The 27,661-nt window shown below is 44.2% G+C and overlaps 2 protein-coding genes, 1 non-coding gene and 1 pseudogene across 8 annotated transcripts in view, besides 5 other annotated features; 1 reads left to right on the top strand and 3 right to left on the bottom strand.

Annotated features, from left to right (window-relative positions):
- TMCO6 (transmembrane and coiled-coil domains 6) overlaps positions 1 to 396 on the bottom strand; it is a 51,203-nt gene extending 50,807 nt beyond the window's left edge. For all 6 annotated transcript variants that reach the window (XM_047417356.1, XM_047417357.1, XM_024446125.2 and 3 more), the window contains exon 1: positions 35 to 396. The gene's annotated coding sequence lies outside the window, so the exon portion shown is untranslated. The remainder of the gene's footprint in view (positions 1 to 34) is intronic.
- Positions 1,068 to 1,362: a silencer, noted in NCBI's record as "tiled region #15063; HepG2 Repressive non-DNase unmatched - State 23:Low, and K562 Repressive DNase unmatched - State 9:DNaseU". NCBI's record gives its function as "represses a minimal TATA promoter and a strong SV40 promoter by Sharpr-MPRA in HepG2 and K562 cells {active_cell/tissue: HepG2 | K562}" and the evidence as "EXISTENCE:reporter gene assay evidence [ECO:0000049][PMID:27701403]".
- On the top strand, positions 1,864 to 22,181 carry LOC112267855 (uncharacterized). The gene is made up of 9 exons (XM_024446282.2): positions 1,864 to 2,011; positions 2,382 to 2,427; positions 2,562 to 2,681; positions 3,132 to 3,273; positions 4,825 to 4,902; positions 5,174 to 5,256; positions 5,776 to 5,862; positions 5,935 to 6,051; positions 21,350 to 22,181. The coding sequence occupies exons 2-9, from the start codon at positions 2,417 to 2,419 to the stop codon at positions 21,522 to 21,524; spliced, it is 813 nt and encodes a 270-aa protein (XP_024302050.1). The 5' UTR covers positions 1,864 to 2,011; positions 2,382 to 2,416; the 3' UTR covers positions 21,525 to 22,181.
- Positions 3,052 to 4,001: an enhancer, noted in NCBI's record as "H3K27ac-H3K4me1 hESC enhancer chr5:139972510-139973459 (GRCh37/hg19 assembly coordinates)". NCBI's record gives its function as "activates a minimal SCP1, AML or CMV promoter by ChIP-STARR-seq in naive H9 embryonic stem cells {active_cell/tissue: H9 hESC(naive)}" and the evidence as "EXISTENCE:reporter gene assay evidence [ECO:0000049][PMID:30033119]".
- On the bottom strand, positions 14,385 to 15,433 carry HAUS1P1 (HAUS augmin like complex subunit 1 pseudogene 1; annotated as a pseudogene).
- Positions 17,134 to 17,259, bottom strand: LOC124900208 (small nucleolar RNA SNORA27). Its single transcript, XR_007059157.1, has one exon. It is a non-coding gene; the product is annotated as a small nucleolar RNA SNORA27 (small nucleolar RNA).
- Positions 26,191 to 26,690: an enhancer, noted in NCBI's record as "H3K4me1 hESC enhancer chr5:139949821-139950320 (GRCh37/hg19 assembly coordinates)". NCBI's record gives its function as "activates a minimal SCP1, AML or CMV promoter by ChIP-STARR-seq in naive H9 embryonic stem cells {active_cell/tissue: H9 hESC(naive)}" and the evidence as "EXISTENCE:reporter gene assay evidence [ECO:0000049][PMID:30033119]".
- Positions 26,691 to 27,192: an enhancer, noted in NCBI's record as "H3K4me1 hESC enhancer chr5:139949319-139949820 (GRCh37/hg19 assembly coordinates)". NCBI's record gives its function as "activates a minimal SCP1, AML or CMV promoter by ChIP-STARR-seq in naive H9 embryonic stem cells {active_cell/tissue: H9 hESC(naive)}" and the evidence as "EXISTENCE:reporter gene assay evidence [ECO:0000049][PMID:30033119]".
- Positions 27,224 to 27,623: an enhancer, noted in NCBI's record as "active region_23279". NCBI's record gives its function as "activates an Ori minimal core promoter by ATAC-STARR-seq in GM12878 lymphoblastoid cells {active_cell/tissue: GM12878}" and the evidence as "EXISTENCE:reporter gene assay evidence [ECO:0000049][PMID:35858748]".

Below are 27,661 nucleotides of genomic sequence, written 5' to 3'. Positions count from 1 at the left end.
CACACAAATTACATGAAGTAGTTTTATTACTTACAGAAAGACAGCAAAGGACAGCAGAAGCCTAGGATTCATGTTGAGCTGGTCTTCCAAGGCTCAGGAAAGTTACCAAGGTAGATGAAGCTTTGTTTGTACATACTCCACTTGCGCCGCAGCTGAGGGACCCTGGATAGCAGCCCACCCTGGGCTTTATACCCCAGGGGTAACATGACATGCTGGGCTAAAGTGTTGAAGGACATCCTGTTTCTAGGGGGGACTGGAACAGAGCCCAGGCTGTTCCAGCCAGTCGCTCCTTATCACTGGATGTTGCATTCACAGAATATTCTAGTTATTTTTGAGAACTACAAGCAAAAAAGAGAGAACTGGGTCAGTTCAAGGCCACCAGCATAACTGTTCTGCAAGGTGATTCTTGGCAGGGCCTCTAGATGACTATGAGATGGAGAAGGGCCATCCATGTGACTAGAGGGTTGGCATTCTTAGTCCCTCCCCCTGACTTCAGGGAGGGGAATGGGGCTGGAATTGAGTTCAATCATGCAGCCAGTGATTTACTCAATTATGCCTGCATAATGAAACCTTCATGGAAACTCTGGACAATGAACCTCAGGGAGCTTTCCAATTAGTGAAGACGCTGATATACCAGGAGGGTGATGGACCCTGACTCCACAGGGACAGAAGCTCCTGCACCGAAGACCTTTCCAAACCTTTCCCTTTATTCCTCTTCATATGACTATTCATTTGTATCCTTTATAATAAAAAGGTAATAGTAAGCACTTCTCTGAGTTCTGCGAGTCATTCAAGTGAATTACTGAATCTGGGGTGGGGTCATGGGAAACCCCTGAATCTGTAGCCAAGTCAGACAAATGTGTGAGTAGCCTGGTGATCCCACTTGCAGCTGGCATTTGAATTAAGGTCAGTCTTGTTGGGGACCTTGTATTTTAACTCACAGGACCTGACACTAACTCCAGGTAGTCAGTATCAGAGTTGAATTGAATCATAGGACCCTCAGCTGGTGTGAGAGAATTAGTGTCAGACACAGTAACTGTAGCATTTACTTGAGTTCTGCGAGCTGTTCTAGTGAATTGTCAAGCCTGAAGGAGTAGTGGAACACCAAAACCTGTAGACATCTGGAGTGAGGAAGGCCTGGGGACCTCTTAACTTGAGACTGTTCTCAGAAGTGCAGTCTCACGGAGGACAATGCCCTTTATGGTGAAACTTGGCCAAACTCCAGGAGGTTGGTGACAGAACTCTATTATGAAACATTATCCACAGTAGAAAGGGAAGAAGTACTCAGACATGCTACAACGTAGATGAACACTGAAAATATAATGCTAAATGGAAAAAAACAGACACAAAAGGCCACACAGTGTATAATTCTATTTATATGAAATGTCCAGAATTGGCTAATCTGTAAAGGCAGAAAATAGAAGAGTGGTTGCTTAGGGTTGGAGGGTGCAGTGGGCTTGGGTTAGGGAGGCAATAGCTAAAGGGAACCAAATTTCCTTATGAAGTGATGGAAACGTTCTAAAATTAACTGTGGTATACTGAACTAGTTATGGATAAAATACTGGGATGTCTGAGATTTGCTTCAAAATAATCCGCTGGGGATGGGAGGAGAACAAAAGAAGTAAGACTGGCCAGAATTTGGTAATTTCTGAAGCTGGGTACCTGGAGGTTCATTATACTATTCTCTCCAGTGTTATACATGTTTGAAAGTTTTCATAAAAGGAAAAAAATAAAAGAAACTTATGCAGTGTTCTCTCACAAGAGAAGGGAATGTCACTTCCCTTAGTAGGTTACGAGGTCCAGATCCACCCCTCCCTAGCCCTCAGATGAGATTCATGAATTATTGAGGGGAAGCTGAGAGGCATAGAGGGCATGGACTGTGGAGAGGTGGTGAGCGCAGGGGCTGGTTTGGCCCAGGCAACTCAGCCTCCTTGAGGGGCCCTCATGGTCTCTCCCAACCCACATGCCATGCTGACCGTGGTGGTAGAAGTGGAGTCGGGGAGGGGTTCAGGTAAGATGCCCTCCCCATTTATACTCAGAAGGAATGCAGTCCAGGACAGCCTCTTGGAAGAGGGGGAGGGTTAGGCCACCTTAGGTTGGAAAACTGAGGCAAAGTTTGAGGGCAGAACTCAGGAATCCCAGAGCCAGTTTTCCTCATGAGAGCTGATATGCAGTCTACCTTTCTCAGGCCCTGAGGACAGCTGTAGCCCCACACACCTGGTGGGGCCCACAAACCTCTGTTTGCTTCATTTTGGGACTCTAGAGACTCAGGTGGATGGGCGTTGTGTGTGTGTTGGGGTGGGGGGTGGGGGGGAGGGGAGTGGGGCGGGGAGTGCAGGGGAAGATGGGAATATCATGGTTGACCCCAGCCCTGCCCACAGGAACAAAACTTCACCTTTGACAGTCCTGGGCCCTGATGCTGCTCAGGTAGGGAGGTCTGGGAGGGTGATGAGAGGAGGGTGGGAGCCCTCAGGCCCCTGGATCCTGGAGTGCCAGCTGCCTCCAGAGCTCCTTTGCTCAGGGCACCTGAGTCAGTGGACTGTGCCTGTGTGTCCCTGCAGGAGGCAGAGCAGGAGCTGCTGGCACGTGTCCAATCCACACTGGGCTCTCTGGGCCGAGGGTACAGTGTGGCCCTGTTGCTCCGGGGGAGGGAAACAGAGGCACCCCGACTTGTGCCTCAGGTGAGTCCCAGAGGAGCCACCAGGGCGCAGGCCTCATGCAGCTCAGGGGTTACCTTCCCCGGAGACTTCTGAGAATCTTCCCTCCCCACATCAGCCCTCACTGGGGCTCCTACAGCAAGCATCCTGTTGGTCCCCGCAAGATGTTTTGCCAAGGTCAATTTATGCAGCTACTGGGAGGTCATGGAAGGTGGGAAGGGGCCGGGCGTGGTGGTTCACACCTGTAATCCCAGCACTTTGGGAGGCCGAGGTGGGTGGATCACCTGAGGTCAGGAGTTCAAGACCAGCCTGGCCAACATGGCAAAACCCCATCTCTACTAAAAATACAAAAATTAGCTGGGCGTGGTGGCGGACACCTTTAATCCCAGCTTCTTGGGAGGCTGAGGCAGGAGAATCACTTGAATCTGGGAGGCAGAGGTTGCAGTGAGCCGAGATCATGCCATTGCACTACAGCCTGGGCGACAAGAGCAAAATTCCGTCTCAAAAAAAAAAGGCGTTTTTCGGGAGTCAAGATGGCCGAATACGAACAGCTCAGGTCTACAGCTCCCAGCGTGAGCGACGCAGAAGACGGGTGATTTCTGCATTTCCATCTGAGGTACCGGGTTCATCTCACTAGGGAGTGTCAGACAGTGGGCGCAGGACAGTGGGTGCAGCACACCGTGCGTGAGCCAAAGCAGGGCGAGGCATTGCCTCACTCGGGAAGCGCAAGGGGTCAGGGAGTTCCCTTTCCTAGTCAAAGAAAGGGGTGACACACGGCACCTGGAAAATCGGGTCACTCCCGCTCCAATACTGCGCTTTTCTGACGGGCTTAAAAAACGGGGCACCAGAAGATTACATCCCGCACCTGGCTCGGAGGGTCCTATGCCCACGGAGTCTCGCTGATTGCTAGCACAGCAGTCTGAGATCAAACTGCAAGGCGGCAGCGAGGCTGGGGGAGGGGCGCCCGCCATTGCCCAGGCTTGCTTAGGTAAACAAAGTAGCAGGGAAGCTGGAACTGGGTGGAGCTCACCACAGCTCAAGGTGCTGGAGAGGATATGGAGAAATAGGAACACTTTTACACTGTTGGTGGGACTGTAAACTAGTTCGACCATTGTGGAAGTCAGTGGGGCGATTCCTCAGGGATCTAGAACTAGAAATACCATTTGACCCATCCATCCCATTACTGGGTATATACCCAAAGGACTATAAATCATGCTGCTATAAAGACACATGCACACGTATGTTTATTGCGGCTCTATTCACAATAGCAAAGACTTGGAACCAACCCAAATGTCCAACAATGATAGACTGGATTAAGAAAATGTGGCACATATACACCATGGAATACTATGCAGCCATAAAAAATGATGAGTTCATGTCCTTTGTAGGGACATGGATGAAATTGGAAATCATCATTCTCAGTAAACTATCGCAAGGACAAAAAACCAAACACCGCATATTCTCACTCATAGGTGGGAATTGAACAATGAGATCACATGGACACAGGAAGGGGAACATCACACTCTGGGGACTGTTGTGGGGTGGGGGGAGGGGGGAGGGATAGCACTGGGAGATATACCTAATGCTAAATGACGAGTTAATGGGTGCAGCACACCAGCATGGCACATGTATACATATGTAACTAACCTGCACATTGTGCACATGTACCCTAAAACTTAAAGTGTAATAATAATAAAATTTTTTTTAAAAGCTGGAAATAAAGCCAAAAGTATACCAAAAAAAAAAGGCAAAACAAAAAAATTTTTTTTTAATTAAAAAATAAAATAAAGGAAGATGGGCTGATAGGGTGAGGGTTAGAGAGGGGTGGCATGAAAAGATCAAATATCCAGGGAGATCTGATTTTCACAGTTCATGGTGAATACTAATTATAAGCTTGGAAGCTTTATTGTGGGGGCTTCGTCAAAATGCCCCCAAACCAAAATAGCTGCCTCAGAACTTGTCGTGGATCCCTGTGCAGCAAACAGCAGATCCCACTGAGGATGTCTGCTCACTTTCTGGCTTGCTGTGAAGAAGAAGACTGGTGCTATTTCTCTCCTGGATACCATGTCCCCAGTAGTATGGGGCATGACTCAGACTTCATGCTCAGGAAATGCTGAAGGACAGATTCATGCTTTCTTAATCCTCATTGAACGCTTCTCCACTTTAGCTGCTGCAGATGCTGTTTGAAGAAGCTCTGCCCCTCAGCTGCTCTGATCCTGTGCTTAGCACTCTTAGCCTGGTGCAGGTGAGACCCTTGAGGGAGGGGAGAGAGTGGGACCTGGGAACCAGGGCCAGGGCAATGTTGCAGAAGGAGCCCGAGGTTTGTGGGGAGCCAGAGAGTGTGTGTCCAGTCTCACTCTACTGCTCACTGGCATGGGCGTGCCTCTCTGAGGTCTCCTCTCCTCTGACTGCAAAAAGGCTGAATTCATGGTGCCATGTTTGGACCCCAGGAGGATCATGTGAGCTGAAAGTAGGGAAAGGTTCAGTTTGTAACAAGTGTGCTTGTGTGACCCCAGTTCAGCCCCAGTGGAAGGACCCAGGACCTGCTCTCTCCAGGGGTGGAGAACCTGTCGGTGCTGGACGTGTCCCCTCTGGGCTTGTGAGTGTTCAGGGCCCAGTGGAGTCTGAGGGTGCTTGTCTTAAGGCATGGCTGCCTCCCTGAAGCCGAGCTTTTGGGGGTCTCCACCCACTGCCATCCCAGGGGAAGAAAGCTCTGAGCTTGGGGTCATGCTTACAGGGTCAGGGGCTGCTCTCAGGATCCCCTCCCACCCTCTTCCTTAATCTTATGTGCCCATCCCTCTCACTCCCCTCACCCCACTTACAACTCTTCAACTTACACCACCTCAACTCTATTCCCCAGCCCCATGTCCTGACTCAGTCATTGTCACACTGGGTGATTTTGAGCATCTCACTGAGCAGGACTTCAGTTTCTCCATCTGAAAATGGGAGTGATCTCAACTACCCTGTTCACAGGAGGGAAAATAAAATCATGAGGATGAGAAATGTTTAGGGAGGTTATAGGCTATGGGGACCTCCAAGGGCTCCCCACATGGAGGTTCTGGGGGTCTGGACAGAACCCTGGTGCTTCGGAGCTGAGCTCAGCCTCTGCTTCCTCCAGGGTGGTAGAAGATGCCACTGAAGTGGAGGTGTCTGACTCAAAAGCTGCCTCAGAGCTGTACTTGCAGGCCACCGCAGGTGAAGGCAGGTGAGGGCAGGAGAGTATCTGTCACCCCATCCCCGCTAGGCATTTGGCCTGAGTCCACCCTTTCCTCCACAGGGCCTGCTGTCTGCTCACTCTCACCATGTCCTGCCCAGGGCCTGACCCTCCTGAGGGGCCCGGGACCCAGCGTGTGTGGCAAGGGGCTCTACGGATCCTACAGCTCCCAGGAGCCCCGTAAGTCTGAGGGGGCCTTCTGACTGCATTGAAGGGTGAGGTGGGGAGTTGAATTACAGATGGAAAGGCCCAAGGTAGCATCAAAGTCTCTCCTCTCCTCAACCCCATAATAAGAGCATCCCAGAACACAAGTTAAGCCCCGTTGTTGGCAGATGATGTGGTCAAAAGCAACTGGATAGAGAGTTAGTGAAACCAATAAATAAAAATAAATATTTCCCAGCCTGGGCAACCTGCCAAAACCCCATCTCTACAAAAAATACCAAAAAAAAATAGTCAGGCATGGTGGCACACATCTGTAGTCCCAGCTACTCAGGAGGCTGAGGTGGGAGGATGGCTTGAGCCCAGGAGATTGAGGCTGCAATGAGCCATGATCATACCACTGCACTACAGCGTGGGTGACAGAGTGAGTCTCAAAAAATATAAATAAATAAATAAATATTTCCAGCCACTGTTTTTTTTTTCATATGTTGATAAGTGCACCAGGGACATTTTTTTTAATGCAAAAGTTAAATGTATTTTATCTTCATTCTATTATTAGCAGATAATAAAAATAGCTGCTATTTACAGCAAAATATCATGTAATTTTAGATTCATCACTTTTTATTCCTATGGAAAAGCAACACTGGCATGTATTGTTGCTGAAGGTGAAGCAGCTTTTTGATTCTCTTCTGTTCCACTCTGTGTTCTGAGATGTGTATCAGACACCGGCCATACACCCCAGATGTGCTCGGGGCACAGCCTGGCCCTACGGAGCACTCTAGTCTGCAGGTGGGCACCTAAGGCCCTACCATTCCCGCTTCTTATTGTCATATTTACTTAGTTCTCAGCACCTCTGTCCATCTTTAAATGACTTAAGCAAGAGTACATTACAGTAGCTTAGATGTTCCTAAGCTTCCACAGAGCACATCCCATCTGTGACAACGATTCAGAAAAAGAACAAAATTTCTTTTATTCTTAAGGGTACACAGCATAAGAGAACAGCTTAGGCAGTTTACTGTAACTGATTGTCCTGATGTCCTTATCCATAAACTAAAAAATCCCCACAGAAGCTTCTGTAAGTATAATGTGAAATAAGTCTATAAACACAACAGCAACAACAACAAGAATGTAAACCAAATGCCCAGTTATGGGAAACTGGTGAAGAAATTTACTGGTAAACCCACTGTAATGGTGTGTGTGTGTGTGTGTGTGTGTGTGTGTGTGTGTGTGTGTACATGTCAACTTGGCTCAGTGACAGTCTCTAGTTATTTAAGCTAGGTGCTGCTGTGAAGGTATTTTGCAGATGTGATGGATATTAAGAGTATCCTGAAAGATCTGGGTGAGCCCAATTCAATCAGTTGAAAAGCTTTAAAAGCAGAAGTCTAAAAAGGCCTTAAAAGCTGAAGCTTCCCTGAAAAAGAAAAGAAATTCCATCCATGGGCAGTGGCATCTGCTGTACTTGTGCCTGCGGAGTTCCATTCTGCTCATTCTCTTCCCTCCTGGCTGCCCACAGACAATAGTTGTGGTCTGTGCCCATGACCTTCCTGATTCTGGACTTGCTTAGCCAGCACCCACAATCTTGTAAGCCATTTCCTTTAACAAATTTGTATATATATGAAAAACACTGGTTCTTCCTCTCTAATTAAAGCCTGGCCAACACACTCACAAATTAGAAGGGGATGCTGCTGTTAGAAGGAATAATGTATACATTTTAGGCCCTTCAAGACTCCAATAAATGATAGTAAAATAACAGCAAAGAAAAATCTTACTTTGGGTAAGAAATCACAGATTAATACACCAGGGACAGTTTTGCAAATAGCGTCTTCAAGCATTTTTGTCTGATTTTTCAGACTTTTTTATTTACCACTTTTTTATTTTTACATTACTAATTCCTTTTCAGCTACTTATATCTCTTCTGATCTATCAGATTGAAAACTTGGAAAGAAACTAAATGTTCAAAGCCAAGACTGGGAAATTCCCCAAAAATCATATCTTCAAGCCCCACTTTACATCCTTTACTCAGTGCTCTAAAGTTATGAAAATATGAAGTAATGATAGGAAATAGTTATTTCGAACCAGCTTGCGTGTTTGTAATATCATGGAAATGTTGCCAAATTCAGAAGTGCCTGAAAACAAATTGTAGTAAAACAAAACAGAAGGGGAAAATGTACCCTAAATTCCCAACTATTATAAAGTCTTTTCTTTCTTTTATCATGTATGCTTCTTTTTTTAAAAAAAAAAATAACAGCTTTATTAACATATAATTTACACACCCTAAAGTTCACTCTTTTGAAATGTACAATTCAGTGGTTTTTTAGTATATTCACAACATTGTGCACTGATGAGCACTATCTAATTTTAGAACATTTCATCACCCCAGAAAGGAAACCCGTTTCCATTTCCAAGCATTCCTCATCCTGCCATCCACTCCGGCCCAAGGCAATCGCTAATCTATTTTCTGTCTCTGTAGATTTGCTACTCTGGGCTTTTCATGTAAATGGAACCATACAATATGTGGTCTTCCTGTCTGGCTTCTTTCATTTAGGATATTTTCAAGGTTTATCCACTTGTGTGAATCAGAATTTTATTCTTTTTTATTGACAAATAATGTTCCATTATATGGATATACCGCATTTTGTTTATCCATTCATCCGTTGATGGGCATTTGGATTGTTTCCACTTTTGGCTACTATATATTTTTTTTCTTTTCTTTCTTTCTTTCTTTTTTTTTTTTTTTTTGAGATGGAGTCTTACTCTGTCACCGAAGCTGGAGTGCAATGGCATGATCTCGGCTCACTGCAACCTCTGCCTCCCAGGTTCAAGTGATTTTCCTGCCTCAGCCTGCCAAGCAGCTGGGATTACAGGCACCCACCATCACACCCAGCTAATTTTTGTATTTTTAGTAGAGATGGGGTTTCATTGTTGGCCAGGCTGGTCTCGAACTCCTGACCTCAAATGATCTGCCTGCCTCGGCCTCCCAAAGTGCTGGGATTACAGGCATGAGCCACCATGCCTGGCCATCTTTTCTTTTCTTTCTTTCTCCCTTTATTAGAGATGTAGTCTCACTTTGTTGCCCAGGCTAGTCTCAAACTCCTGGCCTCAAGCGATCCTCCCATCTCAGATTCCCAAGTCACTGGGATTACAGGCATGAGCCACTATGCCTAGCTACACTTTTGGCTATTTTAAATAATGTTGCTATGAACATTCACATATAAGTTTTTATTTAGACATGTGTTTTCAATTATCTCAGACACATAACAAGAAGTGGTGTTGCTGGGTCATATGGTAACTGTTTTAAAAGTTGTTTGTATGTTTGTCTTTATTGAGGTAAAGTCCACATAATATAAAATTAACCATTAGCCATTTTATAATGTACAATTTAGTGACTCCTAGTACATTCACAATGTTGTGGAACTATCTAGTTCCATCATTTGGCTATTGTGAATAGTGCTGCTACGAACATTCATGTACAAGTATTGGTTTGAATACCTCTTTTCAATTATTTTGGGTATTTACCTAGGAGTGGAATAGCTGGGTCATATGGATATGGTAAGTCTATGTTTAACTTTTAAGGAACTACCACACTGCTTTCTACAGCACTGCACCATTTTGTATTTCCTCCAGCAATGTACGATGGTTCCAACTTCTCCATAATTACCAACATTTGTTATTTTCCATGTTTTTGATTATGGCCAACCTAGTGGTTTTGAAGTGGCATCTCATTTTTATTTGATTTGCATTTCCCTAATGACTAGTTATATTAAGCATCTATTCATGTGGTTGTTGCCCATCTCTAGATCTTCTTTGGAGAAACGTCTATTCAAATCCTTTGCCCATTTTTAAATTGGGTTATTTGTGTCTTTCTTGTGTGTTATGAGTTCTTTATATATTCTGTATACTAGACCCTTATCAGCTACGTGATTTGCAAACATTTTCTTCTGTTTTGTAGGTTATCTTTTCACTTTCTTTCTTTCCTTCTTTTTTTAAGATGGAGTTTTGCTCTTGTTGCGCAGGCTGCAGTGCAACGGCATCATTGGCAACCTCTGCCTCTTGGGTCCAAGAAATTATCCTGCCTCAGCCTCCCAAATAGCTGGGATTACAGGTGCCTGCCACCCTGCCTGGCTATCTTTTTACTTTTTTGATAGTGTCCGTTGATACACTAAACTTTAAAATTTTTATGAAGCCCAATTTATCTGTTTTTCCTTTTGTTGCTCATGCTTTTGGTGTTATACCTAAGCAACCATTGCAAAATCCAAGGTCAGGAAGATTCACCCCTAGGTTTTCTTCTAATAGTTTTATAGCTTTGTCTCTTACATTTAGGTCATTGATCCATTTTGAGTTAATTTTTTGTATTAGTATGGAGTAATGGTCCAACTTCATTCTCTCCAGTTCTCCCAGCACCATTTGCTAAAGAGACTATTATTTCCAATTGACTGGTCCTGGCACCCTTGTCAAAAATCAGTTGGCCACATATATATGGATTTATGTCACGACGCTCAATGATATTACATTGATTTATATAGCCTTTACCATATTGTGAAACTTCTCTTTTATTTCTACGTTCTTGAATGTTTTTTAATCATGAAAAGGTGTCAGTTCTTGTCAAAGGCTATCTTCATGGCAATACCATACTGTTTTAATTTAACTTAATTTAATTTTGTTTTATAGACAGGGTCTCCCTCCATCACCCAGGCTGGAATGCAGTCATGCGGTCAAGGCTCACTGCAGCCTTGACCTCTCAGGCTCAAGTGACCCTCCTGCCTTAGCCTCCCAAGTATCTGGGACCACAGGCACACACCACCACACCTAGCTAATTAAAAAAAATTTTTTTTTGTAGAAATAAGGTCTCATTACTTTGCCCAGGCTGGTCTCAAATTCCTGGGCTCAAGCTATCCTCCCATCTTGGCCTTCCAAAGTGTTGGGATTACAGGGGTGAACCACTGGGCCCAGCCTGACACTATATTATTTACTGTAGCTTCGTAGTAAGCTTTGAAATGGAAAAGTGTAAGTCCTTCAACTTTGTTCTTTTCTTTCTTTTTTTTTGAGATAGAGTCTTGCTCTGTTTCCCAGGCTGGAGTGCAGTGGCGTGATCTTGGCTCACTGCAACCTCTGCCTCCTGGGTTTAAGTATTCTCCTTCCTCAGCCTTCTGAGTAGCTGGGATTACAAGCGCACGCCACCACTCCCGGCTAATTTTTGTAGTTTTAGTAGAGACAGGGTTTCACCATGTTGGTCAGGCTGGTCTCGAACTTCTGACCTCGTGATCCGCCCACCTTGGCCTCCCAAAGTGCTGGGATTACAGGCGTGAGCCACCACGCCCGGCCCTCAACTTTATTCTTTTTTTCAACATTGTTTGGGCTATTCAGGGCTCCTTGCAATTCCATAGGAATTTTAGGATTTGGCTTTTCCATTTCTAAAAAAAAAAAAAAAAAAAAAAAAAACGGCCATTGGGATTTTGATAGGCATTGTATTGAATCTCTAGATTTGTTGGGGAATACGGTCATCTTCATGATATGAAGTCTTCCAATTCATGAACAATGAGCACAGGCTGTTTTTTCATATATTTAGGTTCTCTTTATTTCAGCAGTGTTTTACAGTTTTCAGGGTATAAGATTTACACTTCCTTGGTTAAATTTATTTCTTAGCATTTTATTATTTTTGATGTTATTATAAGTGGAATTTAAAAAATTCCTGGCCAAGAGCAGTGGCTCATACCTGTAATCCTAGCACTTTGGGAGGCCGAGGTGGGTGGATCACCTGGGGTCAGGAGTTCGAGACCAGCCTGGCCAACATGGTGAAACCCCGTCTCTACTAAAAATAAAAAATTAGCCGGGTGTGGTGGCAGGTGCCTGTAGTCCCAGCTACTTGGGAGGCTGAGGCAGGAGAATCGCTTGAACCCAGGAGGTGGAGGTTGCAGTGATCTGAGATTCCACCACTGCACTCCAGCCTGGGCAACAGAGTGAGACTCCATCTCAAAAAAAAAAAAATTCCTTTTTGGACTGTTCATTTCTAGTGTATGGAAAGTAAGTATTTTCGGCTGGGCACTGTGGCTCATGCCTGCAATCCCAGCACTTTGGGAGGCCATGCTGGGAGGATTGCTTGAGCCCAGAAGTTTGAGACCAACCTGGGCAATATAGTGAGACTTCATCTCTACAAAAAAATAAAAAAATTAGCTGGGCATGATGGTGCATGCCTGTACTCCCATCTGCTCAATAGGCTGACATGGGAGGTCTAGGCTGCAGTGAGCCTTGATCACATCACTGCATACCAGCCTTGGTGACATAGCTAGACCCTATCTCAAAAAACAGAAAAAAGAAATACAACTGATTTTTTTTTTTTTGAGACGGAGTCTTGCTCTGTCGCCCAGGCTGGAGTGCAGTGGCATGATCTTGGCTCACTGCAACCTCCGCCTCCTGGGCTCAAGCAGTTCTCTGCCTCAGCCTCCTGAGTAGCTGGGATTACAGGCCCCTGCCACCATGCCTGGCTAATTTTTTTGTATTTTTAGTAGAGACGGGGTTTCACCATCTTGGCCAGGCTGGTATTGAACTCCTGACCTCGTGATCCACCTGCCTCGGCCTCCCAAAGTGCTGGGATTACAGGCGTGAGTCACCATGCCCGGCTATACAACTGATTTTTGCGTGTTGATTTTGTATTCTGCAACTTTACTGAATTTGATTATTAGTTCTAATAGTTCTTTTTGGATGTGGATTTTTTAGGATGTTCTGTATATAAAATTATATCATTTGCAAATTGAGATAGTTTTATTTCTTCCTTTCCTATTTCAATAGTTTTGTTTCTTTTTCTTGCCTGATTGTTCTGGCTTGAACTTTTAATACAAGGTTGAATGGCAGTGGTGATAGTAGTCATACTTATATTGTTCTTGATCTGAGGGGGAAGATTTTAGTCTTTCACCATTGCTTGTGATATCGGCTGTGGGTTTTTCTATATATGCCCTTAATCATGTTATGAAATTTCCCTTCTATTCCTATTTTGTTGAGCATTTTCTTATGAAAGGATGTTGGATATTGTCAAAGGCTTTTCTGCATCAGTTGAAATGATCATCATATTTTTTCTTCATTCTATTAATGTGGTATATTATATATTGATTTATTTTCATGTTGAACTACCCTTGCATTCCTGGGATAAATCTCAGTTGGTCATGATGTATACTTCTAATACTCAGTGGATTCCATTGGCTAGTATTTTGTTGAGAGCTTTTGAGTCTACATTCAAAAGAATATTGGTGTGTAATTTTATTTTCTTGTGTTGTCTTTGGTTTTGGTATTGGGGCAATGTTGGTCTCATAGGATGAGTTAGGAAGTCTTCCTTCTTATTCCATTTTTTGGAGCAGTGTGAGAGGAATTGGTGTTACTTATTCTTCAACTGTTTGCTAGAATTCACCATTGAAGCCATTTGGTCCTGGATTTTTCTTTGTTGGGAGGTTTTTGATTACTGATTCAATCTCGCTTTTTTTTTCTTTTTTTTTTTGAGATGGAGTCTCTCTCTGTCACCCAGGCTGGAATGCAGTGGCATGATCTCAGCTCACTGCAACCTCCACCTCCCTTGTTCAAGCAATTCTTCTGCCTCAGCCTCCTGAGTAGCTGGGATTACAGGCACGCACCACCATGACTGTCTAATTTTTGTATTTTTTTTAGTAGAGTTGGGGTTTCACCATGTTAGTCAGGCTGGGCTCAAACTCCTGACCTCATGATCCACCCGCCTCGGTCTCCCAAAGTGTGATTACACACGTGAGCCACTGCACCCAGCCCGATTCAATCTCTTTACCTGGTATAGGTCTATTCGGAATTTCTATTTCTTCTGGAGTCAGTTTTGATCATTTGTGTGTTTCTAGGAATTTGTCCATTTCATCTAAGTTCTCTAATTTGTTGGTATATAATTGTTTGTGGCATTCTCTTGTAATCCTTTTTACTTCTGTAAGGTTGGTAGCAATGCCCTCACTTTCATTTCTAATGTTAGTAATATGAATCTTCTGTCTTTCTTAGTCAATCTAGCTAAAGGTTTGTCCATTTTAAAATTTTTTAAAAGAGAAAAGCCTTTTTGGCTGGACACAGTGGCTCATATCTGTAATCCCAGCACTTTGGGAGGCCAAGGTGCGTGGATAACAAGGTGAGGAGATCGAGACCAGCCTGGTCAACATGGTGAAACCCCTTCTCTACTAAAAATACAAAAATTAGCTGGGTGTGGTGGCATGGTTGTAATTCTAGCTACTCAAGAGGCTGAGGCAGGGGAATTGCTTGAACCAGGGAGTTGGATGTTGCAGTGAGCCAAGATCGCACCACTGCAGTCCAGCCTGGTGACAGAGCGAGACTCCAACTAAAAAAAAAAAAAGAGAGAAAGAAAAGCCTTTTTAATATGAAAACTATGTATTTGGGGACAAAAATGCAATACACAGTAAGAAACCATATTCTATTAATTATGACATTCTGTAATCTACAAACAGAAAATTTTGTTATTAAGAAATGCCAAGAGGAAAAAGAACTCTATAAAGCACTATTCAATTTACTTTGTTAGGGAAAAGGATGTTTATTTGGCTCTTGTCACAGTTCCATCATGTCTACTCTCCTTGTAAGTTCAGCTTCAATGCTATCTAATTCTCACTTTGCTTCTTCAATTTTCACTTGAGCAAGAGGGGAATTTGGCATTAAGTCTAAATAGGACTCAAATTTTTTCTTCAAAGGTATAGTCTGTTTTAATTTTGCCAGTTTCTCTGACAGTGCTACTAGGGACTGATGAGACAGAGAAGCATCCATGCCTCTGGCTGAAAGTTGCTCCTCTGCAGCCTTGATTCCAAATCTGAATTCCTGTGACTTTGCTTTTAGAAAGTCCATGTTCTGATGACGATTATCAAGTTTGGCCCTTTCTGTAGACAGATCCAACTCTGCTTTCTTGAGATCCTCTTGTAGACATTTTTCTAATATTAAGTTGCAGTTAGATTTTTTTCAAGTTTTTCCAGTTCAATCTTGATTTCTTCACCTTTGGATTTGGTATGAAAGAGATCAGAGGTCAAATCATTCACCGCAAGGATAAAACTAGCTAGTGAGGTATCCTTTGTTTCAAGGGCCACCGCACTGTCAACCAATGCATTCAGATACCTGGAACCAGTGCTAGAGAAATTGGCAGGGGAAAAATTCACACTATCCATGAGAAGGTCTTGAAGATACTATAGGCTTCTGACTCATATTCACTTGCTTTCTGCTTCAAGTCCTCTATTACCAGGTAGACATCCCTGTCCCGGACCCTGTTGGGTTCTGAAAGGTGATGTAAAATCTCTGTGGTCCGTGGGTTCACCTCATACTGTGGAATGGGATGATCTCCAAATATTTATTTTAACCATGCAGCAACCTGCATTTCTTTCTCCTCCAGCGGCTCCATAGCTACCACTCCTGTTCATTTAAAATTTTTTTTTCAAGGAATCAACTTTGGTTTCATTGATTTTCTATTATTTTATATTCTCTTTTTCATTTATCTCTGTTTGGATCTTTATTCTTTTCTTTCTTCTATTAGCTTTGGGTTTATTTTTCTCTTTTTCTAGTTCCTTGAGGTGTCCAGTTAAATTATTGGTTTCAGAGCTTCCTTTTTCATGTAGATGTTTATACTTACAAATTTCCCTCTAAGCACTACTTTTGCTTCATCACATAAGTATTGATATGTTGTGTTTTTGTTTTCATTTCTCTGAAAGTATTTTCTAATTCTCCATGTGATTTCTCTTCTGACCCACTGGTTGTTTAATTTCTACATATTTGTGAATTTTCCAGTTTCTCTTCTGTTACTCATTTCTAGTTTATTCCACTATGGCTAGAGAAGATACTTTGTGTGATTTTAACTTTTAAATATGATTGACACTTGCTTTGTGGCCTAGCATATGGTTTACCTTGGAGAATGTTCCAAGCACTTGAGAAGAATGTGTATTCTGTTATTTTGGGATTGAGTGTTCTAAACATGTCTCTTAGGTCTAAATTGTTTAGTATTACTTAAGTCCTCTACTTCCTTATTGATCATTTGTCTACTTGTTCTACTTAGTACTGAAACTGGGGAAGCTGGGTGTAGTGGCATGCACCTGTAATTCCCAACTACTCAGGAGGCTAAGGCAGGAGGATTGCTTGAGCCTAGGAGTTCAAGACCAGCCTGGGCAATATAGTGAGATCTTATCTCAAAAAAAGAAAAAGAAAAGAAAAGAAAGTAGAGTATTGAAGTCTCCAACTATTACTGTAGAACTATCTATTTCTCCCTTCATTTCTGTCCATTTTTGCTTCACATATTTGGTCTATTGTCAGGTGCATACGTGTTTATATTTGTTTTATCTTTTTGATGAATTGAACCTTTTATGAATATATAATATACTTCTTTGTCTCTTGTAACAATTTTTGACTTACAGTCTATTTGGTGTGATACTTATATAGCCACCACAGACTCTTTTGTATCTTTTTCCATCTTCTTACTTTTAACCTATTTGTGTCTTTGGATCTAAAGTGGGTCTTGGCTGGACACGGCAGCTCATGCCGGTAATCCCAACACTTTCGGAGGCCAGGGTGGAAGAATCACTTGAGTTTAGAAGTTTGAAACCAGACTAGGCAACATAGTAAGATCCCATAGCTACAAAAAAATGAAAATAAGTAGGTATGGTGGCACACACCTGTAGTTCCAGCTACTTGGAGGCTGAGGCAGGAGGATCACTTGAGCCTGGGAGGTTGAGGCTGCAGTGAGCCATGATCACATCACTGTACCTCCAGCCTAGGCAACACAGTGAGACCCTGTCTCTTAAAAAAATAAAGAAAATAAAATGAGTCTCTTGTAGACAACACATAGATAAATTAAGGGTTTTTTTTTTAATCTATTCTTCCAACCAAAAAAAAAAAACTATTCTTCCAAACTCTATTATTTAATCGGGGAGTTTATTCCATTTACCTTTAAAGTAATCACTGATAACAAACACTAACTCCTGCCATCTTGCTATTTGGCTATATATTTTTGTTTCTTAATTCCTCTAATATTGCCTTTTGTATTTAATTGATTTTTTGCAATGTGCTGTGTTGATTTTTTTCGCATTACCTTTTTGATATTTTTTTCCTTTTTATTCTTTTTCAATTTCTTTCCTCTGACAGGATACAAGACAAACACTCAGTTTGCCTGAGTTTTAAAAGGATATTTCCTTTGCCCCAATTAATGAGCAATAAAGACACAAATCCATTTGGCAAAGTGAACAGGGGTTTTTCCATATTTTTAACGGTTATTTTTCTATTGGCCAGGCATGGTGGCACAGGCCTGTGGTCCTAGCTACTCAGGAGGCTGAAGTGGGAGGATCACTGGAGTCTGGAAAGTTGAGGCTGCAGTGAGCCATGATCGTGCCACTGCACTCTAGCCTGGGTGACAGAGTGATACCCTGTCTAAAAAAGCAAGACAAAACAAAAAAACCCCACTTATTTTCCTTGTGGCCATCTTGGAGATTACAATTAATATCTTAAATGTATTTTAATTAATTAATTTATTTATTTATTTATTTATTTATTTTGAGACAGAGTTTCGCTCTATCTCCAGGCTGCAGCGCAGTGGTGTGATCTCAGCTCACTGCAACCTCCGCCTCCTGGGTTCAAGCTATTCTCCTGCCTCAGCCTCCAGAGTAGCTGGGACTACAAGCGCAGCTAATTTTTGTATTTTTTAGTAGAGATGGGGTTTCACCATGTTGGCCAGGATAGTCTTGATCTCTTGACCTCGTGATCTGCCTGCCTCAGCCTCCCAAAGTGCTGGGATTACAGTCGTGAGCCACCTCGCCCGGCTAATATCTTAAATTTAAAACAGTCTCACCAGGCACAAGGGTATGCACCTGTAATCCCAGCTAATCAGGAGGCTGAGGCAGAAGGATCTTTTGAACCCAGGAGTTTGAAACCAGCCTGGGCAACATAGTGAGACCTCATCTAAAAACAAACAAACAAACAAACAAACAAAAAAAGACAAAACAAAAACCACATAGCAATCCAGCTTGAATTAATTCCAATTTAGCTTCAATATCTATAAAGATTTTACCCCATACATCTGCATATTTTCCCATTATGTTGCTAATGTCACAAATTATATCTGTATATATTGTGTGCCCATTATCATAGGTTTACAATTATTGTTTTATGCATTTGTTTTTTAAATCATATAGGCAAAAAAGAGGAGTTACAAACCAAAAATGCAATATTATGGGCTTTTATATTTACACATGTAGGAACCTTATTATTGTTCCTTATTTCTTTATATGGCTTCAAGTTACTGTCTAGTGTCCTTTCATTTCAGGCTGATGGACTCCCTTTAGCATTTTTGGTAAGGCAAGTCTACTAACAATGAATTACTTCAGCTTTGATTGATCTGGGAGTGTCATAATTTTGCCTTCATTTTTGAAGGATAGTTTTGCCAGATATATAATTCTTGATTGGCAGGATTTTTTAAAGCACTTTAAATACCATTGTCTCTTTGTATCTTTTTGGGGATTGGTTCCAGGACCCCCCTGCAGATATCGACATTCACAGATATTCAAGTGTCTTATATAAAATGATGTGGGCCAGGCACAGTGGCTCATGCCTATAATTCCAGCCTTTGGGAGGCCAAAGCAGAAGGATTGCTTGAGCCCAGGAGTTTGAGACCAGGCTGGGCAACATAGTGAGATCTTATCACTACAAAAAAATAAAAATTAAAAAAGACTGCAAAAAATAATAATAATAGCTACTTGAGGGGCTGAAGCGATAGCTTCAGTCCAGGAGGTCAAGGCTTCAGTGAGCCATGATCACACCACTGCACTCCAGCCTGGGTAACAGAGCAAGACCTTGTCTAAAAAAAATACTAATACAAATAGCTGGGCGTGGTGGCTAACACCTGTAATCCCAGCACTTTGGGAGGCCAATGAGGGTGGATCACTTGGAGTCAGGAATTTGAGACCAGCCTGGCCAACATGGTGAAACCCCGTCTCTACTAAAAGTACGAAAATTAGCCTGGCACAGTGGCTCACGCCTGTAATCCCAGCACTTTGGGAGGCCAAAGCGGGTGGATCACCTGAGGTCAGGAGTTCGAGACCAGCTTGGCCAACATGGTGAAACCCCGTTATCTACTAAAAATATAAAAATAAGCTGGGTGTGGTGGCGGGCACCTGTAATCCCAGCTACTGGGGAGGCCAAGGCAGGAAAATTGCTTGAACCCTGGAGGTGGAGGTTGCAGTGAGCTGAGATCATGCCACTGCACTCCAGCCTGGGTGATGGAGCGAGACTCTATCTATAAAGGAAAACAACAACAACAACACACACACACAAAACTAATAAAAATAAAAAATAAAATGTTATAGTATTTGCACATATAACCTATGTACATCCTCCCACATACTTTAAATCATCTCTAGATTACTTATAATTCCTAATACAATGTAAATGTTATGTAAATTGTTATACTGTATTGTTTAGGGAATCATGACAATAAAAAGTCTGTACATGCTCAGTACAGACAAAACCATTTTTCTCCCAAATATTTCTGATTCATGCTTGCTTGAATCCACAGATGCAGAGCCTATGGATATAAAGGGCCAACTTTAAGTTATCCCATGGTTTCTGGGGATAAGTCTGTTTTTAGTCTTATTGAAGATCCATTGCACATAATAAGCTGCTTCTCTCTTGCTGTTTTCAAGATTCTCTCTTTATCTTTGTGGGTTTTTTTTTTTTTTGAAGACTGTATTCTTTGTATTCACTGAAGGCTTCATTTTGTTATTTTAGTAGTCAGCCAGTGACCTAACATAGAATTCCTTAAATGCCTGCGACTAAAAAAAAAGTTTTGTTTTGTTTTTTAAAAAGGAAGAAGAAAGAAACAAATAAAAAAAGAAACAAAAAGAATAAAGAAGAATACGAAAAAGAAAACAAAGGAAGGAAGGAAGGAAAAAAGAAAAAGAAAGAATTTTCTAGGTCTTTGCAGATTGGCTCTGTGTGGAGTCACTCCTAAGCTTAGCCAGGCAATTTACAGCTCTGTTTTAGCCTTCACTTCCTGCTTGTGCTGAGCCCAAAGACCAGACAGAGATGAAAGCTTATTGTCTTATTGGGCCTTTTCTGCACATGAGTCCTACCCTGGGTGTGCTTTCTGCTCTCTCTAGTACACATGGGAACTTTTTGAAGCCCTTATTCTCCCAAAAATATCACTTCCAAACTTTTCCCAGTCTTTCAGGGTATCAGTTGTTTGCCTCAACTGTTATTTTTGCTTCAGGCAGCAGTTCCTTGTTCTTTTGTTCTTTAGCAGTTTTCAGGGAACATCCTCTGTGTAGCTGCTCTGCCTTGAGAGAGTTCTGAGATTCGTGAAGCAAAGAGAATTCCCTTTCATCAGTTCTTCAAGGGAAATTCCAGACAGTCAAAAAAGATAAACACAATTCATTGGGATCAAGATCTTCTCTGCTCCCTCCCTAACCAGGAACCCCCACCAGAAATTTGGGCTGCTGTCTTCAAGATTAGCCCTGTGCTGGGGAGGGGTTGGAGCTAGGGTAAGTTAAAACACCACAGAGATCTCTTACCATATTTAAGTTGCCTTTCTCCTGGTTAAGCATTGGTTGCTGTAAACCTCTATCTTTCAGAGTTAAAATAAGGTTGTTTCTGGCTGTTTTTGCTAGGTGTTTCTGGGGATGAACGGACTCTTGGAGTTCCCTACTCTGCCATTTTCACTGATGTCATCTTCTTTTGCCCATTTTAAAATTGGGTTGTCTTTTTATTATTGAGTTGTAAGAGCTCTTTATATATTCTGGGTACAAGTCACTTGTCAGGTACACAATTTAAATTTTTTACCATGAGAATCTATTACTTCTTTTAAAAAAAAATTTTTTTTTTTTGAGACACACTCTCACTTTGTTGCCCAGGCTGGAAGGCAGTGGTGTGATCTTGGCTCACTGAAACCTCCACTCTCTGGGTTCAAGCAATTCTCCTGCCTCAGCCTCCCTAGTAGCTGGGATTACAGGCGTGTGCTACTACACCTGACTAATTTTTGTATTTTTAATAGAGATGGGGTTTCACCATATCAGCCAGGCTGGTCTCGAACTCCTGACCTCAAGTGATTCGCCAGCCTCGTCCTCCCAAAGTGCTGGGATTACAGGTGTGAGCCACCATGCCCATGGAGAATGTATTACTTTTGTAATTTAAAAAATAATAGTAATAAAATAAAGATCTGTACAATGTTTCAAATCTGTCTGGTGATACACAAAAGTTTCTGGAAATAGTTGCCCTTTCCATCAGAGTGTAACTCTGTCCAGTTTCTTTCCCCATCCACCAGTGGACGTCGCCTTTCTTCCTCTCCCTCTTGCAGAGACTGCCCCCTGCTGCGGGTGTTGGCTGGTGAAGTTGTTGGTGAGGAGGCGGAGGGCTCTTTGCCCTGGATTGTCTCATGGCTCTTGGAAGGAAACAACTACAGTGGCCTACTTCTTCGCCTGGACCCCCAAGGTGGCCAGGGGGAGAGTGTGGAGTTCTTTGGGAAGCTCTGAGATCTGTCCTTAGGCCTGCCTCACCCATCACGCAACCGGCCTCAGCCCCAACCTCAGCCCAGAGAGAGCGTCTGACCCTCCAAGAGGGCCCCAGAGTGCCTAGGCTGACAGAGACTGGAGAGGCAAAGTAAGGTCAATAGTGAAAGTAACCCCTCACCCTTCAGAGACCTTAAACCACTTACCAAGCATTTTTGCACAAATGCCTTTGATTCTTACCACAACCCCATGAGGCAGATATAATTTACAAATAAGGAAAGAGAGGCAGGCCTAATTTATAGATGAGAATAGAGAGGATAAGAGAAGAGAAGGGAGTCTCCTATTTTCATACACCCATTAAAAATCAAGCCTCAGCTGGGTGTGGTGGCTCATGCCTGCAATCCCAGCATTTTGGGAGGCTGAGGTGGGCAGATCACCTGAGGTCAGGAGTTCAGGACTAGCCTGGCCAACATGGTGAAACTCCATCTCTACTAAAAATACAAAAATTAGCTGGGCATGGTGGCAGGTGCCTGTAGTCCCAGCTACTTGGGAGGCTGAGGCATGAGAACTGCTTGAACCTGGGAGGCAGAGGTTGCAGTGAGCCAAGATCGTGCTACTGCCCTCTAGCCTGGGCGACAGAGTGAGACTCCATCTCAAAAAAATAAAAAATAAAAAAACAAAGCCTCTGTGTCCTTAATGTAGATGCTGGTGGAAAAAAAGAAAAAAAAATCAAGCCTCTGAAATGTTATGATGTCAGGGATTTGGGGGAGGTCGAGGTGGGGGTATTGATCAAACAGAAATGGCATGAGTTGATAACTGTCAAAGCTAGGTGACAGGTAGACAGGATTTCCTATACTTTGTATATGTTTGAAATTTTCCATAATAAAAGAGTAAAAAAATGTCTGGCCCTCATCTCCAAAATCAACAAACCCACATTCATTTGGCTAGCAAGTTCCCAGACCTCCGCTGTGGGAGGTCCCTTGGAATGAGGAAGATAGGTTACAGCAGTTCACACCCACAAGGATAAAGCAGTGAGGGCCAGACGTGTTTATCTTCAGGCCAGTTTGGTATCATGTTGAAGGGCATGGGCTTGAGTTTAGGCTCTGCCACTTGCCAAGAAGTTGCTTGACCTCTTTGAGCTTCTATTGCCTCATCTGGAAAATGTCGGGGGAGGCAGGATAGATTAGAGCTTCTGCCTGATTGGAGTGTTGTGTGGATAAAAAGAGGCAATCCATGAACAGCCTTAGTGAAGTGCCATCAAGCATATGTAAAAGTCTAGTGGGAGTTAGATATTTTTATGAATAGTACTACTAATAAAAAGTAAAAGTATCACAAGCAGCGTGCTTTGGAGTCCACAGGAAGGAGTAATTCACTTGGAGTGTCCCTTTACTAGGTAGCTCCCTCAGTTTGCTCCAGGCTGCTCTGTTGGGGGCCTCAGGAAGGAGGATGCAGGTGAAACAGGTGAGGCCCACCCTGTGGGATGCAGTAGAAGAGGCTCGGGCCCGCCGGGCTGGCCTGAGGCCCCTGCGTTTAGGCCTCCTTGAGGACACCCTGACGGACAGTGGGCTAAGCCAGCTGGGAAGGGCACTGCGGGAGCTAGAGGTGAGCAAGGTGAAGCCTGAGGGCACCTGGGCTAGCCATGGCCAGTACCCACCTTGAACCCTTTCTCCATAGGTGGTAAAAGCGTGGAGCCAGCACCCAAGAAGCCAGATGCTCCAAGGAGCAGTCTGCCTTCTTGTCCTCTTTCCAAAGCACTTTGAGGAAGACCTCCATTCATTCATTGACTTATTGATTCCCAAACACTTATTGACCACCCACTGTATGCTGGGCCCAGTGCCACATAGGCCCTGGGAATTCCCTGCCCTCATGGAGTTTATAATCTCCTGGGAGGAAACAATTGCACCACCATAATCGGTGCTCTGAAAGGCTTATAAACACAGAATTCTGTGGGGCATCTAAGTTAGCCTTGGCAAGAGAGGGATGGAAGACTTCATGGAGGAAGTGATTCCTGAAGGAGGTCAACAAAGATGAGTGAAGAACCTGAAGGCAGAGAGAATGACAGGCAAAGACTCAGAGGCAAGAAAGTGCTTGGTCCCCTTGAGGGAGTGCAAGTAGCTCAATTTATTGAAGAACAGAACTTGAGGAAGAGTCAGGAGAGAAGTATTGGAGAGGACAGCAGGGGCCAGGTCACACAGGGCTTTGCAAAACAGAGGTGTTTGGACTTTGTCTTAAAGGTCACAGGTGAGCCACAGAAGTATTTTAAGCAGGAAAGAGCACTGTGCCCTTTTCAGGTGAGCAAACTGAGGCTTAAAGAAAAGATGTGAGGCTGAGCGCGGTGGCTCATGCCTGTAATCCCAGCACTTTGGGAGGCCGAGGTGGGCGGATCACCTGAGGTCAGGAGTTTGAGACCAGCCTGGCCAACATGGAGAAACCCCATCTCTACTAAAAATACAAAAATTAGCCTGGTGTGGTGGCGCACGCTTGTAGTCCCAGCTACTCGGGTGGCTGAGGCAGAAGGATCACTTGAACCTGGGAGGCAGAGGTTGCAGTGAGCCGAGATCACGCCATTGGACTCCAGCCTGGGCAACAAGAGTGAAACTCCATCTCAAAAAAGAAAAGATGTGAGAGGGCTGGGCGCAGTGGCTCACGCCTGTAATCCCAACACTTGGGGAGGCTGAGATGGGCAGATCACCTGAGGCCAGGAGTTCGAGACCAGCCTGGCCAACATGGTGAAACCCCGTCCCTACTAAAAAATACAAAAATTAGCCAGGCATGGTGGCGCATGTCTGTAGTCCCAGCTACTCAGGAGGCTGAGGTGGGAGAGTCACTTGAACCCAGGAGGCGCAGGTTGAAGTGAGCTGAGATTGCACCACTGCACTCCAGCCTGGGTGACACAGCGAGACTCTGTCATAAAAAAGAAAAAGAAAAATAAAAGATGTGAGACCTGTGAGCCTGGGGTCACAGGCATAATCAGGAGCAGCAGAAGTATAATCACACTCAAGTCCTTAGACTCCTAATCTAGTGCTCTTTCATCTCCTTAGGCTGCATGGCCTTTCTGGTCTTCCATGATTTATCACAGGGTGGTTGAAACCCTGTCCCTGTCCAGCCTCTCCTGGCCTTTCTCTTCTTTTTTCATAGTTGCTTAGAACTTGTTTTTACAGCCTTGGGGCTTGGGAATCAGGCATGGTAGCTCCTATTTATTGAGCAAGTGCCTTACTGCCCAGTGCTTTCGGTGCAGTACTTCATTTCATTCTCTCCACAACTTTTATCAGCTCGATTTGATAGAGAAGCACATGGAGACTAGGCCAGTCACCTGCTCGAGGTCATTCAGCTAAGAAGAGGAGGGGCTGGGACCCTGATCTGTCTGATTTCCAAGCCCTGATCTTAACCTACACTGTACTGGGAGGAAAGGTGTGGAACGATCACTTCTAATATCTTCTCAGCAGGTGATAGAGTCACCAGTAAACCAGAGCCCATGCCTCGAGGGAGAGCCCCAAGGTGGGTCTGGGACTTGGGGATGAGCTGGGAGTGGGACGTCTTCCCTGCCTTTGGTGTGATTAATTACATTTTCCTCTAGTGGCAGGAAGAATGGCAACTCTAAGGCGTGGCTCCACCAAAAGAATCCTCTCAGGCACCCTAAGGAATAGGTAATACCTCATGTACCCCAGGAACGACTAGAAGCTGTAGGGGGAGTGAAGAGCTGCAGAGCCCAGCTAATGTGCCCCTGCTTACCCTGCCCCAATATCAGGGAGAAATATGAAGTTTTTGACAAATAAAGGACCTGAAGGTGACTAGACCCCTAAGGCAAGGCCATGGGGAGGGACTGTTTTCCTACTTATTGGATTAAGGGTATAGGATCCTTAGAGGCACTATGGCACCTCCTGGCAGAGCCACTACCTTCCTCTCCCCACCATGGCCTCCTGAGTCTCTGCCCAGGCTACAAGCTCTTCCAGGCTAGTTAGGTCCTGGATGTTGTTCTGGGAGCAGCCCTGGTGATGAGGTTCTATTGGAAAAGTTGGGCTCTGGTCCTAAATCCGTGCACACACATGAACTTCTGACCAAGCCCAGCAGATACCAGATGTGGCCCGGCCGCTCTTCTTGGCCCAGGCCCAGAGGCAGAGACTGAGGGAGCAGCACCAAATTTGGATTCGAGAGAAGCTGAAGCATTTGGAACAGAAGGAGGAGGTGGCAGATGACCAGGTCAAAGGCCTGGTGGCTGAAGAGGAGGTAAGGAGGGTCAAATAGGGGACTTGAGGCTCTAATTGGTCCAGGCACTGTGCTAGGGGCTAGGATCCATCATCAATCACAACCGACCAGTTCATACCCTCTCTCATGGCCCTCACAGCCTTGTCAGGGATAGATGAGGCAATTCTCAGTGCTAAGTGATGGGATGGGGGATCTAGGGTTGTGTGGGACCAAAAAGGCATATCTGACCCAGGCTGGAGTGGATCAGAGGAGATGGAATCTAAGTTGAGCCTCAAAGGACAGGCAGAGATCAGCCAGGGGAATTCACTGGACACTGAGCTTAACAAGGGCAGTTACTGCTCATCAGTAACTGATGGGGGGTGGGTGGAGTGGGGACATGTTCTTAGAGAAGACAAAACAGTATAAGCAAAAGTTCAGAGGGAAGCAATGGCAAAGTGGGTCTGGGAACTGCAAATTCTCCAGTCTGGCTGGAGCTGAACAGGTGCGTAGTCAGAAGCAAGGCTAAAGAGACAAGTGTGTGCCACAGCTCTGGCTTTGGACTTTACCCCAAGGAGAGCTGCAAACCATTGAAAGGCATGTGCCATGTCAGCTCTGACCTTTACTAGCCATGAGAATTTGGGCAAGTTAGGTCACTTCTTTGATCCACTGTTGCCAAATCTGTAAGATGGCAATGCCACATATGGTTGTTATTGGATAAAATAATACACCTGAAGTATTTAGCACAGAGCCTGGCACACAGGTGGCACTCCAAAGAGTATGTGTTATCACTGAAGGCCTGCGAGGAGAGGCAGAGATGGCAGCAGGAACAGATGGTGCTGAGATTCCAGCTGGAGGCCCTTCAGGAAGAGCGGAACACAGCAGAGCAGGACCTGGCAGCCCTCTATGACCTGCATGTGCAGGCCACCCGAGCTCAGACACACCATGTGCTGCCCATCAGTGGGGATGGAGGGTAGGCCTTGAGCTGGCTCCAAGGCTGGCTGAGTGACAGGCATCTCTGAATCTGGGCACAGGTATTCTGAGCCTGGCAGGGCCAGTGGGAGGAGGGGGCCATGACCACAGAGCATCATCACTGCAGCCTGCTGGCGGGCACCCTGGAAGAAACCATCAACCTGGCCACACAGAATCAGGAGCTCCAAGCTGAGAACCAGCAGCTTCAGCAGGGTGCAGACTAGGCTGGGGGTAGTCATGCTGGACCTGTCCTGGGGAGAAACCTTAACAGGAACCCTTTAGAGGAAGTTTCTTGTCTCCTCATTCTGGAGGGTCCTAGAAGGGAGAAAAAGGTGAGACAAAACCAAGCTGATCCTTATTATGGATAATTAATAACACAAACCATGTCTCATTGTTCCAGTCCTTACTAAGTGCCTAATATTATTTTATTTAGCCTCTCCAGCTACCACATATAGTAGGTACCATTTGATCCTTATTTCAGGGATAAGGCAACTAAAGCTAGGAGAGGTTAAATAACTGCCCAAGAACAGTCAGCTAAGTGGAAGATCCAGAATTCAAATTCAAGTCTGTCCATAGTTCTACACTGCACAGTAGTGGCTTACAAGCTTCTGTGTGCATCAGAACCACCTAGGGAGCTTAAGAGAAAGAAGAAAAAGATTCCCAAACACTACTCCCTAAGATTCTGCTTTAATAGGTCTAAGATAGGCCTAGGGCCCCCCCCCAACCCCCTTGGTTTTTTTTAGAAACTCACCACATATTCTATCATAGAATCAGGGCCTGACATTCCCCTGGCCATGATTTTAAGACAGATGACAGGCAGAAATTGTAAGGGAACCAGAGGAAATGAAAACCGAAACCACATCGGCTTTCTTAAGAGTTTTTTGGCCTAGAGTCTAGTTTGTCCTGCTCGGCCCAGCACCTGCTGTTCCCAAGACTCTCTCCGCATTCCCCTGGGCCCAAGTTTTGTGCTCCAGGGAAATTTCAAAAGCTCTATGACAGGGAAATGT

Source organism: Homo sapiens, chromosome 5, assembly GCF_000001405.40.
Source record: "Homo sapiens chromosome 5, GRCh38.p14 Primary Assembly".
Taxonomy (NCBI): domain Eukaryota; kingdom Metazoa; phylum Chordata; class Mammalia; order Primates; family Hominidae; genus Homo; species Homo sapiens.
This window is presented reverse-complemented; position numbering and strand designations above follow the sequence as displayed.